The 16,442-nt window shown below is 36.7% G+C and overlaps 1 protein-coding gene across 70 annotated transcripts in view; it reads right to left on the reverse strand.

The window, feature by feature from the left end:
• Positions 1 to 1,877: 1,877 nt before the first annotated feature.
• The window catches only part of SNAP91 (synaptosome associated protein 91), a 156,509-nt gene continuing 141,944 nt past the window's right edge, over positions 1,878 to 16,442 (reverse strand). For 66 of the 70 annotated variants that reach the window (NR_164843.1, NR_164844.1, NR_164846.1 and 63 more), the window contains 4 exons: positions 9,857 to 9,940; positions 9,097 to 9,201; positions 5,136 to 5,238; positions 1,878 to 3,278 (listed from right to left, as the gene is read on the reverse strand). Coding sequence is in view for 66 of the 70 variants with exons in the window: in NM_001242794.2 (NP_001229723.1) it covers positions 5,146 to 5,238; positions 9,097 to 9,201; positions 9,857 to 9,940 (282 nt within the window). In the remaining 4 variants the exon portion in view is untranslated. Of the gene's footprint in view, positions 3,279 to 5,135; positions 5,239 to 9,096; positions 9,202 to 9,856; positions 9,941 to 11,936; positions 12,038 to 16,442 lie in introns of all 70 variants that reach the window. The other 4 variants (NM_001376740.1, NM_001376712.1, NM_001376737.1 and 1 more) reach the window with 2 other exon arrangements.

A 16,442-nucleotide genomic window follows, 5' to 3' on the forward strand; every position in this document is an offset into this window, starting at 1 on the left:
CTCATGGATACAAAGAATCAGTATCATGAACATGGCCATACTGCCCAAAGTAATTTATAGATTCAATGCTATCCCCATCAAGCTACCATGGACTTTCTTCACAGAATTCAGAAAAAACTGCTTTAAATTTCATATGGAACCAAAAAGGAGACCGCATAGCCAAGACAATCCTAAGCAAAAAGAACAAAGATGGAGGCATCACACTGTCTGACTTCAAACTATACTACAAGGCTATAGTAACCAAAACAGCATGGTACTGGTAACAAAACAGATATATAGACCCATGGAACAGAACAGAGGCTTCAGAAATAACACCACACATCTACAACTATCTGATCTTTGACAAACCTGAGAAAAACAAGCAATGGGGAAAGGATTCCTCATTTAATAAATGGTGTTGAGAAAACTGGCTAGCCATATGCAGAAAGCTGAAACTGGATCTCTTCCTTAAACCTTATACAAAAATTAACTCAAGATGGATTAAATACTTAAACGTAAGACCTAAAACCCTAAAAACCCTAGAAGAAAACCTAGGCAATACCATTCAGGATATAGGCATGGGCAAAGACTTTATGACTAAAACATCAAAAGCAATGGCAACAAAAGCCAAAATAGACAAATGGGATCTAATTAAAGAGCTTCTGCACAGCAAAAGAAACTATCAGCAGAGTGAACAGACAACCTAGGGAATGGGAGAAAATTTTTGCTATCTGACAAAGGGCTAATATCCAGAATCTACAAAGAACTTAAATTTACAAGAAAAAAACAAACAACCCCATCAAAAAGTGGGGGAAGGATGTGAACAGACACTTCTCAAAAGAAAACATTTATGCAGTCAACAAACATATGAAAAAATGCTCAATGTCACAGGTCATTAGAGAAATGTGAATCAAAACCACAATGAGATACCGTCTCCCACCAGTTAGAATGGCAATCATTAAAAAGTCAGGAAGCAACAGGTGCTGGAGAGGATGTGGAGAAATAAGAACGGTTTTACACGGTTGGTGGGACTGTAAACTAGTTCAACCATTGTGGAAGTCAGTGTGGCAATTCCTCAAGGATCCAGAACTAGAAATACCATTTGACCGAGCCATCCCATTACTGGGTATATACCCAAAGGATTATAAATCATGCTGCTATAAAGACACAGGCACACGTATGTTTATTGTGGCACTATTCACAATAGCAAAGACTTGGAACCAACCCAAATGTCCAACAATGATAGACTGGATTAAGAAAATATGGCACATATACACTGTGGAATACTATGCAGCCATAAAAATGGATGAGTTCATGTCCTTTGTAGGGACATGGATGAAGCTGGAAACCATCATTCTCAGCAAGCTATCGCAAGGACAAAAAACCAAACACCGTATGTTCTCACTCATAGGTGGGAATCGAACAATGAGAACACTTGGACACAGGAAGGGGAACATCACAGACCGGGGCCTGTTGTGGGGTGGGGGGGAGGGGGCAGGAATAGCATTAGGAGATATACCTAATGTAAATGACGAGTTAATGGGTGCAGCACACCAACATGGCACATGTATACATATGTAACAACAAACCTGCACGTTGTGCACATGTACCCTAGAACTTAAAGTACAATTAAAAAAATAAATAAAAGAAAGTTCACCATAAAAATACATATACATTTTGAAATATGGAATTTCAACTCATTTGGCAGCAGTTACAGAGACCCAAGTTTAATGAAGGCTTGTTAAAGTTGCTCTTTTTCCTTGTTTTTAATTTTTTATAAAATAATCAAAACTCTATTGGCATGAACAGCATTTTAAAATCTTCAGTATTTTGTCTGCTGTGTGTGTCATTTGAAACAGACCTTTTTCCCAAACATAATCAAAGAGAGAAACGTTATGTTTGCATTTCTTTGTTCAAGGTGTTTATTGCATCTCAGAGGGCGTACATGCACTGGGTTTTTAAACTGAAATACAAAGAAAGCCATTTTGAAATTGGTTTTAGGTAATTTTTCCCCATTACAGTGTATGTTATCCCCACAGTAAATTCAGATACAACCACTTTTAAATGGTACCATACATCTATTAAATAATTTGAAAAATAGGCAAACACCTTTCCAACCCAATATGCTTTTATGAAGAGCTGCCAAGCTACTAGCAACACTGATCAACAGTGACCTCATTTATGCATCAAAATCTTAAGCCAAGCCATCAGCACAGACAGTATGACAACAAATTAAAACTTAAAGAATACAGTATGTACAGTAAAAGATACAATTCTCTGAATTAGTTTAAATCCTAATCACAATGTTACAACAAAACCTACTTTGAGCTCAGTTGAAGGATGGAAGAACACTAGTCTACAAAACACACAAAGAAACACTAAATTAACAGATGTACTAAAAACCCACAGTAAAGTAAAGATATTTGCAGTAATCTTTAAATTACAGATATACCTTGGGGTGCCTTCAGAATCACTTGAATAGCACCTCTCTAACCGCATTTTCATGAACATGACACAAACAGACCCTTTACTTTTCAGTGCATTTAATCAAGAATGAATAAATAGGTCAATTTAGATGCAAAACCTGTCAAATATAATTAAAATATATATATTTTAATATAGCAGTGATAAATAGGGGATTCTTCCCATACGATTTTTCGTTCTTGATAAGGTAGCTTCAAAGAGAAGTATTTATTATGGACGTTAACCTTTATATTTTTTAAAATAAAATTTCTTAACATATACAGTGCCACAAAAATAAACATTTCTCACAACAGTTGAAGTTCCTGTGATTGGAAAAATGTACTCCACACTGAAAAAGTTTTGTATATTTATGAGTGTTTTCCTTATTATCTGGTATTATCACACTACGCTTGTAACAGAGATACAGAAGAAAAGATAATTTATGGGAAGAGTTTGGGGTTTGTTCAAAAGTTATATGTACATTGAAACCTTCAAAAACACAGACGTCTTTCCAAATAGCTCGCCACACAACAGCTGCATCATCTGTCCTCAGGTGAAGTCCAAAAAAGCACTAACGGCATCAGTAACATCCATTCATTGTTTACATCGTACAATACACAAATAATCCAAATACACTACAATTTCAAGAGTAGGGATAACAGCTAAGGTAGTACATATTCCTAATGTTCACTTTCACGGCTGTGTTACACATTTTGGAAGAGAAGTTATGAGTAAGTATTGGGTTTGGTACTGGTGGCTCCCTTTGAAACTCAGCATCAATCTTATTTGAAGTCTCCAAACTCATTTATTTTCCTATTCAGTCACAAATATTGCAGCTGTAAAGAAAACAAAAACTAGAATTAGAAAACAAGATTATTACATAGTCCTCAAACATTTTACCTCCCTTGCAATTTTACTTCATAGTTTCTGAAAACAACTTTTACATAAAAAGGTCTCTGCATGGACAAATTCAAATTTACATACTTTTCATAGCTCTTTAAAACAAGCTTAAAATTTTTAAAGTTTAGCCAGAAATTAAAAAAAAACTTTTGATGTATAGTTTCATTTTAGATAATAATTATATCAACAAAAATTTGAATTTAGATACATATTAGAAATTTTAGTAGCAGGACATTCGGTATAGCATTCAGTATCTAAGAGCAGCCAACCTTTAAAAAGGGCAGCTAAAGAAAAAGGGGGCATGGCAATGACCTTACATTATTTTTTCATGTATTCAGTTATGGTGTTCAATGAGTCACTTTCTAAACAGCTGAACCAGTGACAGAATAGAAGAGAACAGAGAGATCCCTGGCGACCCGATGCCTTTCCTCAGCCACTTCCCACTCATCTCCCTGGCTAATTCATGCATCATTCATTTCTGCTGGAAACATTTGTGGGGTCTTAAGGCTTAGCCGCATAGATAACTCTTCATAAAATAGTAATTCTCTCTGTGTCTCTGTCTTTGTCTGTCTCTGTCTCTCTTTCTCTTTGTCTGTCTCTGTCTCTCTCAGGCAAGGACTGTCTCAAGCATATCTGTTTCCTGTACTTATCAAAGTTCCTGGCATATGATTAGGGCAACATTTACTAAGTAAGAGGTGAATACAGGCTGCTCTATGCAGTTTCCTTGGTCACTCCTGAAACTATTAAGTGTTCATTGTCTCACTTATGTCTACATTAGCCAATCCAAAGTGGAATAGAAAAGTTGGGCATAAGGAGAGTTTACTTGACTGAGATGTTAATACCTTAGAATAATGCATCATTAATCTTGTATAAGAAAAAAAAAACAAATCAAGAATCCACAAAAATCTTAGTAGACATTAGGGAAGGGTTTTAAGAAATATATGTAGCACAGCAGGTGCATACTGAAAACAACATTGGACAAGAGTCCAAAAACACTGAGCCTCTTACAATTCTTCCCTGTGGGACCCTGGGCAAATTCCTTAATGCCCAAGGATCAGTTCTTTTAGCTGTGAAATGGAGACAAAAAATATCTGGATAGTTTATCTCACATGACTGTTCTATTGAGAAGTGGATGTGAAAAGTACCGTGTAAATTATGTTCATCCATTCAGCAAGGATTTGTTGAGAACCTACCCACTGTGTTAGGTGCTGGGGTCAACAGTAAACATTTTTCCTTCATTCGTTTCCTTCCATAACTTCAGCATGAGTCATTTCATAAATTATATGAAATTTGTGAAATTTAAAACTAGAACATTAGAAATTTAAAACTCTGCTTGAATGCAGAAATGTAAAGGGTAATAATCTAAGCTTTATGAGGCAAAAGAAGGATAAACAAAATAAAAATACAATTATGCAGTCAAATATATTCTTAGATGATTTCTAAATGCAATAGTATAAATGTTAGCTTTCTATAAATTCAAGTCATCATGTAATAAAGTGGTAATTTTCTAATTTACCAAGTAGCTTGGGCACCTTTTTGCTTTATTAAAGCTAATCGTTGTGCTTTCCAGGATAAGGACAATTTGGAGGTTACTTTCCCTCCTAGTTACATAAATTAAGATTTAAAAAACTCTTAAAGAGAGCTTTTAATATCAAATTTAAAAGTATAAACACTCAAATTATTACTATTATACACAGCTATTCAAAACGCAGAAATAATGAGTACCTCTGAAATAGCTAAGCATTGTATAGCTCATTATTACAAGCCTACAGGAAAAGCTCAATATTAGATACCTTAAATTGTTTACAAGAAATCCTTGATGTTAAGATCCGCTAATGGGTCCTTTGCTGGAGGTTTCTTGGGACTCTGACTGGCAGGTGTAGGGCTTGGAGAAAGCTAATGGGAAAAAGCCAGCCCCAAAGAGCAGGAATAGAAAGCAGAGAGAGAATGAGACATGGGGGGAAGAGGGGGCAGGGGGAGAGAGGGAGAGGGGGAGAGAGAGAGAGAGAGAGAGAGAGAGAGAGAGAGAGAGAGAGAGAGAGAGAGAAAAGCATTAGGCAGAACACATATCAAAGAAAACAAACCTGCAGAAGATTAGATGGTTAAAGGCTTATGAAATCTACTTGTTCTACATAGTCACAGAGTTGTGTTTAATTCTGGACTGGTAAAATATACTTCAACTGATATTTGGCTTTCTTGAACTTCTCTGACATCAGATTTAGCCAAAGTAAAATTTGGGGACTCCAGTAGAACAATATGGGTATGACTTAGGGAAGATGTGAAACACTAGTAACATAAAGATATTATGAACAAACAGTAAAACAAACAAACAACCGTTTTCTCTATACAAAAGCATTTTTACTTTCAGTCATTAGTACCTCTAAACTAATAAATCTATTTAAATGGCTTTTCCTGTAGTGAGAGTGAATTTGAAGGAAAAATAGGAAACGGTTTGCAGAAAGCTATTTAAGAAATTACTTACACTTATTAGCTAAATATACTAGAATTTCATATACATTATTTTAAGTGAAAATCAGTCAAGTTTGAGGGCACTGTTTGTTTCACATGACCAAATAGTTTCCTGGTAGTGAATGCCACTAAAATTCTAATGCAATCTATTCAGCTCTCAGAGAAGGCCAAAACTAATTATTAAATACTATAGGAAAGAATCATATTGGACTTGTTGCAAAAGTAACAAATAATTAACTTGCCTTGTTTCTGTTTAACCAGAATCTAAATTATTTTTTCATTGTGTCACAGATATAACTTCTGGGAGCTGACTTTTACAGGATACAAGGTCTTGAAAAATCTCATGTAGTTTATAGAGTAATAGTTGACATCTAGGCTTTGAGTCTAATTAATCTCCTATGCTTGTAGTAACATGCTGGGACTGTGGGGCAGTGTTGTATATTTTTATTAGTTCAGTGAACAGAGTTCCAGAAGTATGGATTTTGAGATTTGGTCCTATGTCCAGAAACTACTGACTAATTATATTATCTATCTGTCAAATTTCCATGTTTAAAACTGGGATATGGGCTGGGTGTGATGGCTCACATCTGTAAAATCCCAGCACTTTGGGAGGCCGAGGCAGGAGGATCACTTGAGGCCAGGAGTTCGAGGCCACCCTGGGCAACAAGGCAAGGCCTCATCTCTACAAAAAATAATAAAAAAAAAAATAGCTGGGCACAGTGGCTTGCATCTGTGGTCCCAGCTACTCGAGAGGCTGAGGTGAGAGGATCCCTGTTGCCTAGGAGTTCAAGGCTGCAGTGAGCTATGACTGCACCACTGCACTTCAGCCTGGGCAACAGAGTGAGAACCTATCTCAAATAAACAAATAAGCAAACAAAAAAATAACAACAAAAAACCTGGGATCTGTTTCATAGAGAGAGATATATATATAAATAAAGTAAGGCTTGAACTTCCTTAAATCAATTCAAAGATTGGTCCATAATTGATAATTAGGTGAGATGACAATATCATGATACCAGCCAATGAAAGAATGCTGCGATAGTCCAGGCATCAGTAATAAAAAAACTACTTTGTTTTCTGAAGCTACAAACTCACATTTATTTTATTATCTAGTATAATTATGCTTCTTCTCTGATATAGGAAATATAATCTAAAAATTACATAAATATGGTGTATCATTACCTGGCTTATTATGAATTCAATTACTGATTGAAACAATGTATTCCCATCATACTATCTATTTTTCATTTTCATTCTTCTAATTAAGTAAATAAATTGTTGCTAACTTTGGTATTACACAATAAAAACAACTGCCTTAAGTAATAAAATTATATTTATTTATTTCTGAAGCTTTCAGTATATCAAACACAATAAGGTTAAAAGAAATCTCAGTAACATTGTTCCAAGTGCATAATAACAGAAATATTTCTTTTTTTTCAAAAAGATGATAGTCATGGAACTATTCAAACATCAAGGAAATATTTATGATAAATGAGATCCCTTAGAATTTAAGTATATCTAAGTTATACCTAACCTCAACCATTATACCCAAAACCTTCCTGACTGTCCCCAAAAACAACACTACACAGGGTTCACCAGTCTTCACATAGACTAGAAAATTTCTCCTGAAGCCAGTTATGGCCAGTAATGGCCATGAAGGCTAGGGTTTCTCACATTCTAAATTTCTGTCTTTCAACATCCACCATTCTTTCTCTTGGTCCCTGTTGCTTTTGAGGGGCAAAGTGAAGAAGCTGAAAGGAAATTTTGGGAACAGGTCAATGGATTTAGAGATGCATCAAGGAAGCAAAAGGGATTAAAGTATACTCAGAAAGTTCACAGCAGCAGGTATTCCATGGATAAGACAGTATAAATACTGATTTGATAAGTTAAAAATATTATAGGACTGAAAACATTTACTCATATCATTAAAATATATTTGAGCTATTTGCTCTAGTTTGTAAAGCATGCTGCTACCAAAGTAGTAATTTGGTGTCCTGCCCATCCAAGTCAATTTCTCATGATGAAAACTTCTTTGGTTCTACATGTAACATCACCTTGGCCAGACAATTTAAAAGAGGAATCAGGAAAGCATGATTCATCACTAAGACTAGCACCACTAGCAGCAAAACGGTTCAACAAAGTGTAACATATTTTGGCATTTTTGAAGGGTAAGTAGCACAGTGTGTAGTAAGGAATTTAGCTTTACCTAAACTGAGGTTTTTTCCTTTGCCCAGAAAGGGAACCTCTAAATCCTTATAATTTCTCAAATGATAGGCATGTCTTTGTTATTCAAGGTGGGCTCTGGGAACAACACCTGACAGTTTATGCTAACAAGGTGACTCAGAGTGGAGGCAGAAAGCCCAACCATGAGATTTTAGGGCTGGGTCTTTGGGCCACATGAAACCAGCCTGATCTTCAGGGAGGAACAGGGGTTGAAGATTGAGTTCCACAAAATGGGTAACAATTCAACCAACCAATCCTACATAATGAAGCATCAATAAATGCTGGATGCTGAAGCTCAGGTGAGCTTGCGATACTGCATGTGTACTGTCACATGATGATGTCCACAGGAGAACCCACCTCTGAGGACAAAGAAGCTTCATGTTTAGAACTTTCCCAGATGATGTTTATGCATCTCTTCCTATAACTGGATCTAATTTGTATCCTTTTACTACAATAAAACTCTTATAAGTTTAGTACTTTCCTGAGTTCTGTGAATCATTCTAGGAAACTATCTAACCTGGCCATGGAAAAACCTCGAATTTGTAGCCAGCTAGTCTGAAGTGGGGGTGGTCCTGGGGACTCACAAATATGTGTCTTGCGTCTGGAGTGAGGAGATTCTAAAAGGGAGTATTCTCACAGACTTTGCAGTTTGGCAAACTTATTGCAGTTAGTGTCACGAGTCTTGGGTGGACATGGCAGTCTGGAGGACTGTGCTGCCAACCTTTCTGGCTAACGCTGGGAACACATACTAAAACTACAGACCAGAAGCATTCATTTCTCTGGGACACATGCCTTGGATGCCCTGAATATCTGGATGTTCTCAGGAACCAATATGAATTAAGTAGGAAGAGAATGGAGGGATCTTTAGACAGTGAGTTATTTCCATCACTTTTTCCCCCCCAAATCTCACTTTTGCAGATCTGTCTTCCAAGCTCCCTTTACTTCTGAAGCAACAGGTATGAGGATTACATTAGGTAAAAACACTTTTTAAACAGTTTGCTACACCAATGTTTTACACTTATTAGTTAATGTCACTGATTTGTGGACATTGAAGAAACTGACCTGCGTGCCAGGTACAGCGGCAGCTCCAAAGGGGGGCCTCATCATGGGCTGTGCAAACATGACCGGCTGCTGAGGCATCATGGGCATGCCTGTCCCAGCAGGAGGCTGAGGAGGAAGAATGGAGAGTGGTTCAGAGCATGAGTGGAACTCACTAGGGCACTATCCTGACATTTATTGCTTTTATGTACTTCTGACAATATTTGAGGAATCCAGGACTATGAGGAAGCATAATTTGTAATTTTAATTAGGGATAATGTGAGGCTGTACTGTGAGGGAGAGAGTCGCTAAGGTGGGTGGGTAGCATAAGCCTGGTTGGCCACATGGTATCCCCATCCCAACCAAGCTTTGTTGTTGTTTATTCATCTTCTGTAAGCATAATTCTTGGAAAGAGAAAAATTTGTTTCTTTATGAAAGATGGTCCTAAAATTGGCTGGTAAAATTGGTGAGTAAAAAGTCCTAGTATAATAATGAAGGGTTGATTTTGATGATTGGGCTAATACTATATTTTGTAAATTTTATAGCAAAAATGATATAACAATGTACTATAGAAATTAATTTGATGGTAGAACATAAGTATTTTATAACTCATTTTATCACTTCATGTGTAGACTACCTAAGGTTTAAAGCAGATGACAACTTTTTAAGTTTTACTTACTGTGTTTTGGGAAAAATTATATTCTGTAGGAATACTTAGTAATTTGGGATTTGGCAAATTATTTAGAAATGTTGATTACAATTTTTAGCACACGTCATCACTCACCATTCCAAATCCTGCTCCAGGTTGTCCAACCGATGGGGCCCCGGCAACAGGAGGAACTGAACTGGTTGGAGGTACAGCTCCTTGCTACACAGATAGACAGACATACACATATAAATAACACAAAAACACACAAACACATGCACGACAATAAACAAACAAAAAGAACAATATAATTTGGTATTTATTTATTTATTTTAAAGATGGGGTCTCACTGCATTGCCCAGGCTGGAGTACGATGGCATGATCACAGCTCACTGCAGCCTCGAACTCCTGGACTCAAGCAATTCTCCCACTTCAGCCTACTGAATAGCTGGGACCATGGGCACATGCTGCCATGGCTGACCAATTTTTAAAAATTTTTTTGTAGAGATGGGTCATGCTATGCTGTGTAGGCTGGTCTCAAGCTCCTGGCCTCAAGCAGTCCTCCTGCCTTGGCCTCCCAAAATGCTGGGATTACAGGCATGAGCCACTGTACCAAGCCGAACATAATTTGGTTTTAAAATGACAGAATTTTAAAGTGAATGCATGCCAAATATGTATGAGTGGATATGTAAAGAAAATCTCAAATTTCAGTTTTAAATTTAAAAAGGAAAATGGTTCTAGCACCACATCAATGATATAAACAAGACTACTGACTTGATGTTCTCTGTTATAGAGTCATTTGGACTTGCTGGCTTGCAGATTGCTCATAACATTGGGCTTCCTCTGTATCTTTTTAGACCCATCCTCCCTGGAAATGAGTCAAACTTCCCTAAGCTTGTCTTTTCCTATCATTATATCCTCTAATGGTATTGGGTTAGACATTTGAGGATTGTTCTAATCTTTCTATATGGCTCTAATTTGTATTAAGCAAGGTTTTTAGGTGGATGTGGTGGCTCATGCCTGTAATCCCAGCATATTAGGAGGCTGAGGCAGGAGAATCACTTGAGGCCAGGAGTTTAGGACCAGCAACATAGCGGTATGGGCAACATAGCAAGAACCCATCTCCACAAAATATTTTTTAGAAGTTAGCTGGGCCTAATTTTTGGTGGTGTGTGCCTGTAGTCTTAGCTACTCGGGAGGCTGAGGTGGGAGGACAGCCTCAGTCCAGAGCTTGAGAATGCAGTGAGTTGTAATAGCACCACTGTACTTCAGCCTGTGGACAAAGTGAGACCCTGTCTCTAAAAAAACATCAATAACAACAACAAAAGCTTCCATCAAAGAAAAACCCAGAACTAGATATCTTCATTGGTGAATTCTACCAAATGTATAAAGAATTAATACCAATTCTTCTCAAGCTTTTTAAAATAAAGAAAAGGTAACACTTTCTAATCATTCTTTGATGCTGGTATTACCCTGACACCAAAGGCAAACAAAGAAATCACAAACAAAAGAAAACTACAGCGCGATATTCCTTATGACTGTTGATGAAAAAATTCTCAACAAAATACTAGCATACTGGATCCAGCAGCATATTAAAAGATTATACACCATGACCAGGTTTTACCCAGGAATGCAAGGTTGGCTTAATATATGAAAATTAACCAATGCAATACACCATATTAATAGAATAAAAGAAAAAAATTACATGATTATAGTTAACTCTTATAATTTATGTTATCTCAGCATCTATTTTGGATACACCTTTAATTTTCTCATATCAGAAGCAGGGCTTAGTCACTCTTGATACAATTTCTAGTTCTCTGCCTCCTCCCAGTTCCTTAAGGTGGTCATCTAGATATCTGCTTCATACCATCACCTTCCCTATGGGATAGCTAGATACAACCTACTTGATTTACCCTACTGTCCCCCACACTCTGCAGAGCTAACTGTGCATATACGCCACAACAACCAACTCTCAGTCACAGCATCATTCCATGGAACTTCTGCCTGCTTGCTGTAAACCTACCAATTAAATTCCTGTGGGAAACCTGCTTAGGTGATATCCTGGACCCCAATAAAGGCCTTGGCCCACAGATCCCTCACTCTCACTCTCTTTTGCTCCTACCCACTGGTTGAACACATGTGTCCTGGATGGCTCCCCACTTCCCTTTGGCATGCTGCCCTCTTCTCCCTGGGATCTGTAACTTTTATTACTTACAGATTCTGTAATTTCATGTGTTTTATTGTATGCCTCCTCTGTGTCTCACTTGACTGACACCTAACTTCTTTGCAGGTCAAGTTCTCTTAGAGAGTGGCTATCTTGGTAGAAATAAACAACACAAGTTAGACAAGAGCCACAAGGGCATTTGCCAGTATAAACAAGCTTCCTGTGAACGAGACATCTTAGACATGAGGCTTCCCACCACAATAAAGAAGTATCCCATGAAAAACACACTGTAAACAGCAACCCGCTTTTGAGGCCTGTCAGGGCAGGGTTAGAGTTTGCAGCCACTTTCCTAAGAGAGACCTCAAAAATGAATAAGGGAAAATCACAACAATGATCATCTCAATAGATGCAGAAAAGCTGTTTGACGAAGTCCAACAGCTTTTCATGACAAAAAATACTCAACGAACTAGAAAAGCAGGGAAATTCCTCAACCCAATAAAGGGTATCTACAAAAGCCCACAGCTAACATCATACTTAGTGACTGAAAAAAAATGACTGAAAACTTTCTACCTAAAAACAAGACAAGGAGGTTATGAAAGTTCTAAGTCAGGGCAGTTAGCAGGAAAAAGCAAGAAATGGCATCCAGGTGGGAAAGAAAGAATGAAACTATCTCTATTCATCGATGGCACAATCTTTCTTTTATACAGAAATCCCTAAAGAATCCATATACAACAAAACTGTCAAAGCTAATAAACATGTTCTTCAAAGTTGCAGGATACAAGACCAATATACAAAACTCAGTGCAGTGTTCCTGGGGAACTAGCAATGAATAATCGAAAAATTTAATTATGAAAACAGTTCCATTTATAATAGCATCAACAATAAAATATTAAAAAATAAATTTAACAGAAGTATGAGACTTGAACACTGCAACTATAGAACATTGTTGAAAGAAATTAAAGAAGAACTAAATAAATGGAAAGACACCCTTTGTTCATGGGTTGGAAGACTTAACATTAAGATGGCAATAATCTGCAAATTGCTACACAGATTCAATGAAATCCCTATCAAAATTTCAACCACTTTTTTTTGGAGAAATGGATAATCTGAACCTAAAATTTATATAAAAATGCAAGAGAACCAGGATAGCCAAAACAGTTTTGAAAAAGAACAAATTTGGGGGAATCACACTTCCTGGTTTCAAAACTTAATAGAAAGGTACATTAATCAAAACAGTGTGGTACTAGCATAAAGACAGACATATAGATCAACACAAGCAAATAAAGAGTCTGGAAATAAACCCATACCTCTATGGTTAATTTTTTTTTCTCTTTCTTAAATTATCCAGCCCAATATGTCAGACGGTCAATTAATTTTTGACAAGGTTATCAAAACCAATTAATCAAGAAAGAATAGGCTCTTCCTTTCTTTCTTTCTCTTTTCTTTTTTTTTTTATATATATATATACAGGATCTTGCTCTGTCACTGAGGCTGGAGTGCAGTGGCATGATCATGGCTCACTGCGGCCTCTAGTTCCCTGGCTCAAGTGATTCTCTACTTCCCTGGATCAAGCAATCCTCTAATTTCAGCCTCCTCAGTAGGTGGAACCACAGGTGCATGCCACTGCACCCGGCTAATTTTATTTTATTTTTTGTAGAGATAGAGTCTCATTATGTTGCCCAGGCTAGTCTCAGACTCCTGAGCTCAAGTAATCCATACATCTTAGCTTTCCAAAGTACTGGGATTAGAGGCATGAGCTGTTGTACCCAGCCAGAATAGTCCTTTAAACAAATGATTCTGAGACAACTGAACCTCCACATGCAAAACGATAAATTTGGACCCCTATCATATTAAAAAACGAGCTCAAAATAGGTCAAAAATTTAATGTAAGAGGTAAAACTATAAAACTCCTGGAAAGAAACAGGTAAAAAATTTCAAGACCTATGATTAAGGCAATAGTTTTTAAAAATATGACACCAAAAGCACAAGTAATAAAAGAAAAAATAGATAAATTGGAGTTTATCAAAATTAAGAACTTTTGTGCATCAAAGGACACTATCAAGAAAATGAAGAGCTAACTCACAGAATGAGATAAAAATATTGGCAAATCATTTATCTGATAAGCATCTAGTATCCCGAATATTTAAAGATCTCTTTCAACTCCATAATAAAAAGACAACCCAATTATAAAATGGGCTAAGGATGTTATAGGGTAGCAGAATATGCCACCCCAAAATATGACACTTTGGCATAATAATTACTTTGAGCTGAAGGCAACTGAAAAGAAGCCTTTTCAGGCTTCAGTACATCACTCTCACTATTTGGAACATAAATTTACAGAGATATTTCTCCTCCCCTCTCTATCAGGGACAAAAGTTCATCACCAGAGATAACTTGAGACCCTAATCAGCCTGAGAGGGCATCAGAACAAAATGCAAAACAAACTTGACTAATTAGCCTTGAACTGCCATTAGTTTCCCATATATTTGCCACCTTAGAGAGTCAAAGTCCTTTTCCTTTGTCTTGTGACTTCTCTAAAAATATATTGTTCCTTTGCTAAGATGCCATCTAAGCCCATGTTCTAATCAAGCCTCTGAGTTACTCACCCTGAGTGCTCCCATGTGTAAGCATGATGCATGTGCTAATAACTTCTGTTTGTTTTATTATTTTTAATTTGTCTTTGATCAGTCCAATGTTCACAGCCCCAGCCAGAGAGTGTAGGAGGGTAGTAGGAAAAAAGAATTTTTCCTCCCCTACAACATAAATAGACCTTTCTCTAAAGAAGATATACAAATGATCAATACACACATGAAAAGATGTTAAACACTGTTAGTCATTAGGGAAATGCATATCAATGCCACAATGAAATACCACTTCATGCTCATTAGAATGATATAATAAATAATGAAATGAAAAATAACAATTGTTGGGAGGATATAGAGAACTTGAAACCCTATGTATTGCTGGTGGCAATGTAAAATAATGTAGCTGCTATGGAAACGCTTGGCAGTTCCTCAAAAGTTAAACATCGACTTACACATGACCCAGAGTTCTATTCCTAGGTATATTCCAAATAGAACTGAGGATATACGCTCATATGGAAACTCATATATGATAATAAAAATCTATTATGTGTAATAGAAACAACATAAGTGTTCATCAACTGATGAATGGATAAACAAAATGTGGTATATCCATAAAATGAAATATATTCAGCCATAAAAATGGAGTACTGATACATGCTTCGACATGGATAAACCTAGAAAATGTTATGCTAAGTAAAAGAAGCCAGGCATAAAAGGCTCTAAGGGTAAGGGGAAATTGAAAGGGACTGTTTCTTTTAGGGGTGATGGAAATATTCTGAAATTAGATAATGGTGATGGTTTCACAATGCTGTAAATATACTAAGAATCATTGAATTGTATACTTTAAGTTGTTAAAATAGTGAATTTAAATGTTATGTGAATTTTATCTCAATAAAAATTTTTTCAAAAGAAAGAAAATACCTATAAAATTATATTTCATATTAATGCTTTACCCATCATTTCAACAGGGTAGGTGGTAGGCTATTTACCAGACCTGAATTGCATCATTAGGACTTCAGGCTATGAAAGAGAAAAGGGCTTTATTAGCTTTAAAAGCAAAATGAACCTGCAGAAATTCCTGATCAAATAAATGGTCAAATAGTTTGAAGAAATTGTCTGAGTTAGTCATTTTGCTGAAATGGTAGATTAACTCTTACATTCAGTGGTGATAAGTTTTTAATTGGGATGCCACTTGACTGGTGCAGCTCTAGCACCTTGAGTTCTCATGTAAGCAAAATGAAGCCCAACATAAATAATAAAATGAAACTAGAGACTTTACCAATCAGAAATTGCCAACGAACAGATTCTAACTGGAGACTTTATCAAGCAGAGATCAACAACTAACCTCTAATTATGGTCCTTCTATTCTGATCAACAAAATATATTTTGTTGTACTTCTTTATCAGCCAATAAAAGTTCATGGTCCACACTGCTGTGCTGGAGCTCTCTGAACCTCTTCTGTTTCCGAGAGGTACCTGATTCATGGATCATTCTTCACTTAAATAAACTCTGTTAAACTTGCATAATCATAGCTCACCGTAGGCTCAAACACTTGGGCTCAAGCAATCCTCCTGCCTCAGCCTCTCATATAGCTCTTACTACAGGCATGTGCCACCACACCCAGCTAACTTTTTAATTTTTCTAGAGATGGGGCCTCACTATGCTGCCCAGGCTAGCCTCAAATTCCTGGCCTCAAGTGATCCCCCCGCCTCAGTTTCTGGGAGTATATGGGTGAGTTATCGCATCCAGCTCAACTTTGTTAAATTTATTTTGTCTAAAGCTTTTCTTTTAACAGTGATCTTCCTGCAAAATGCACATATTTCTGAATTGCAAATGTCTTCCCACTTGTTCGATAAAAACTTAACAGGTCTTAATTCAAGATGGATTAAAGACTTAAATGTTAGACCGAAAACCATAAAAACCCTAGAACACCTAGGCAATACCATTCAGGACATAGGCATGGGCAAGGACT

The sequence above is a fragment of the Homo sapiens genome, chromosome 6 (genome assembly GCF_000001405.40).
Source record: "Homo sapiens chromosome 6, GRCh38.p14 Primary Assembly".
In the NCBI taxonomy this organism is placed as follows: domain Eukaryota; kingdom Metazoa; phylum Chordata; class Mammalia; order Primates; family Hominidae; genus Homo; species Homo sapiens.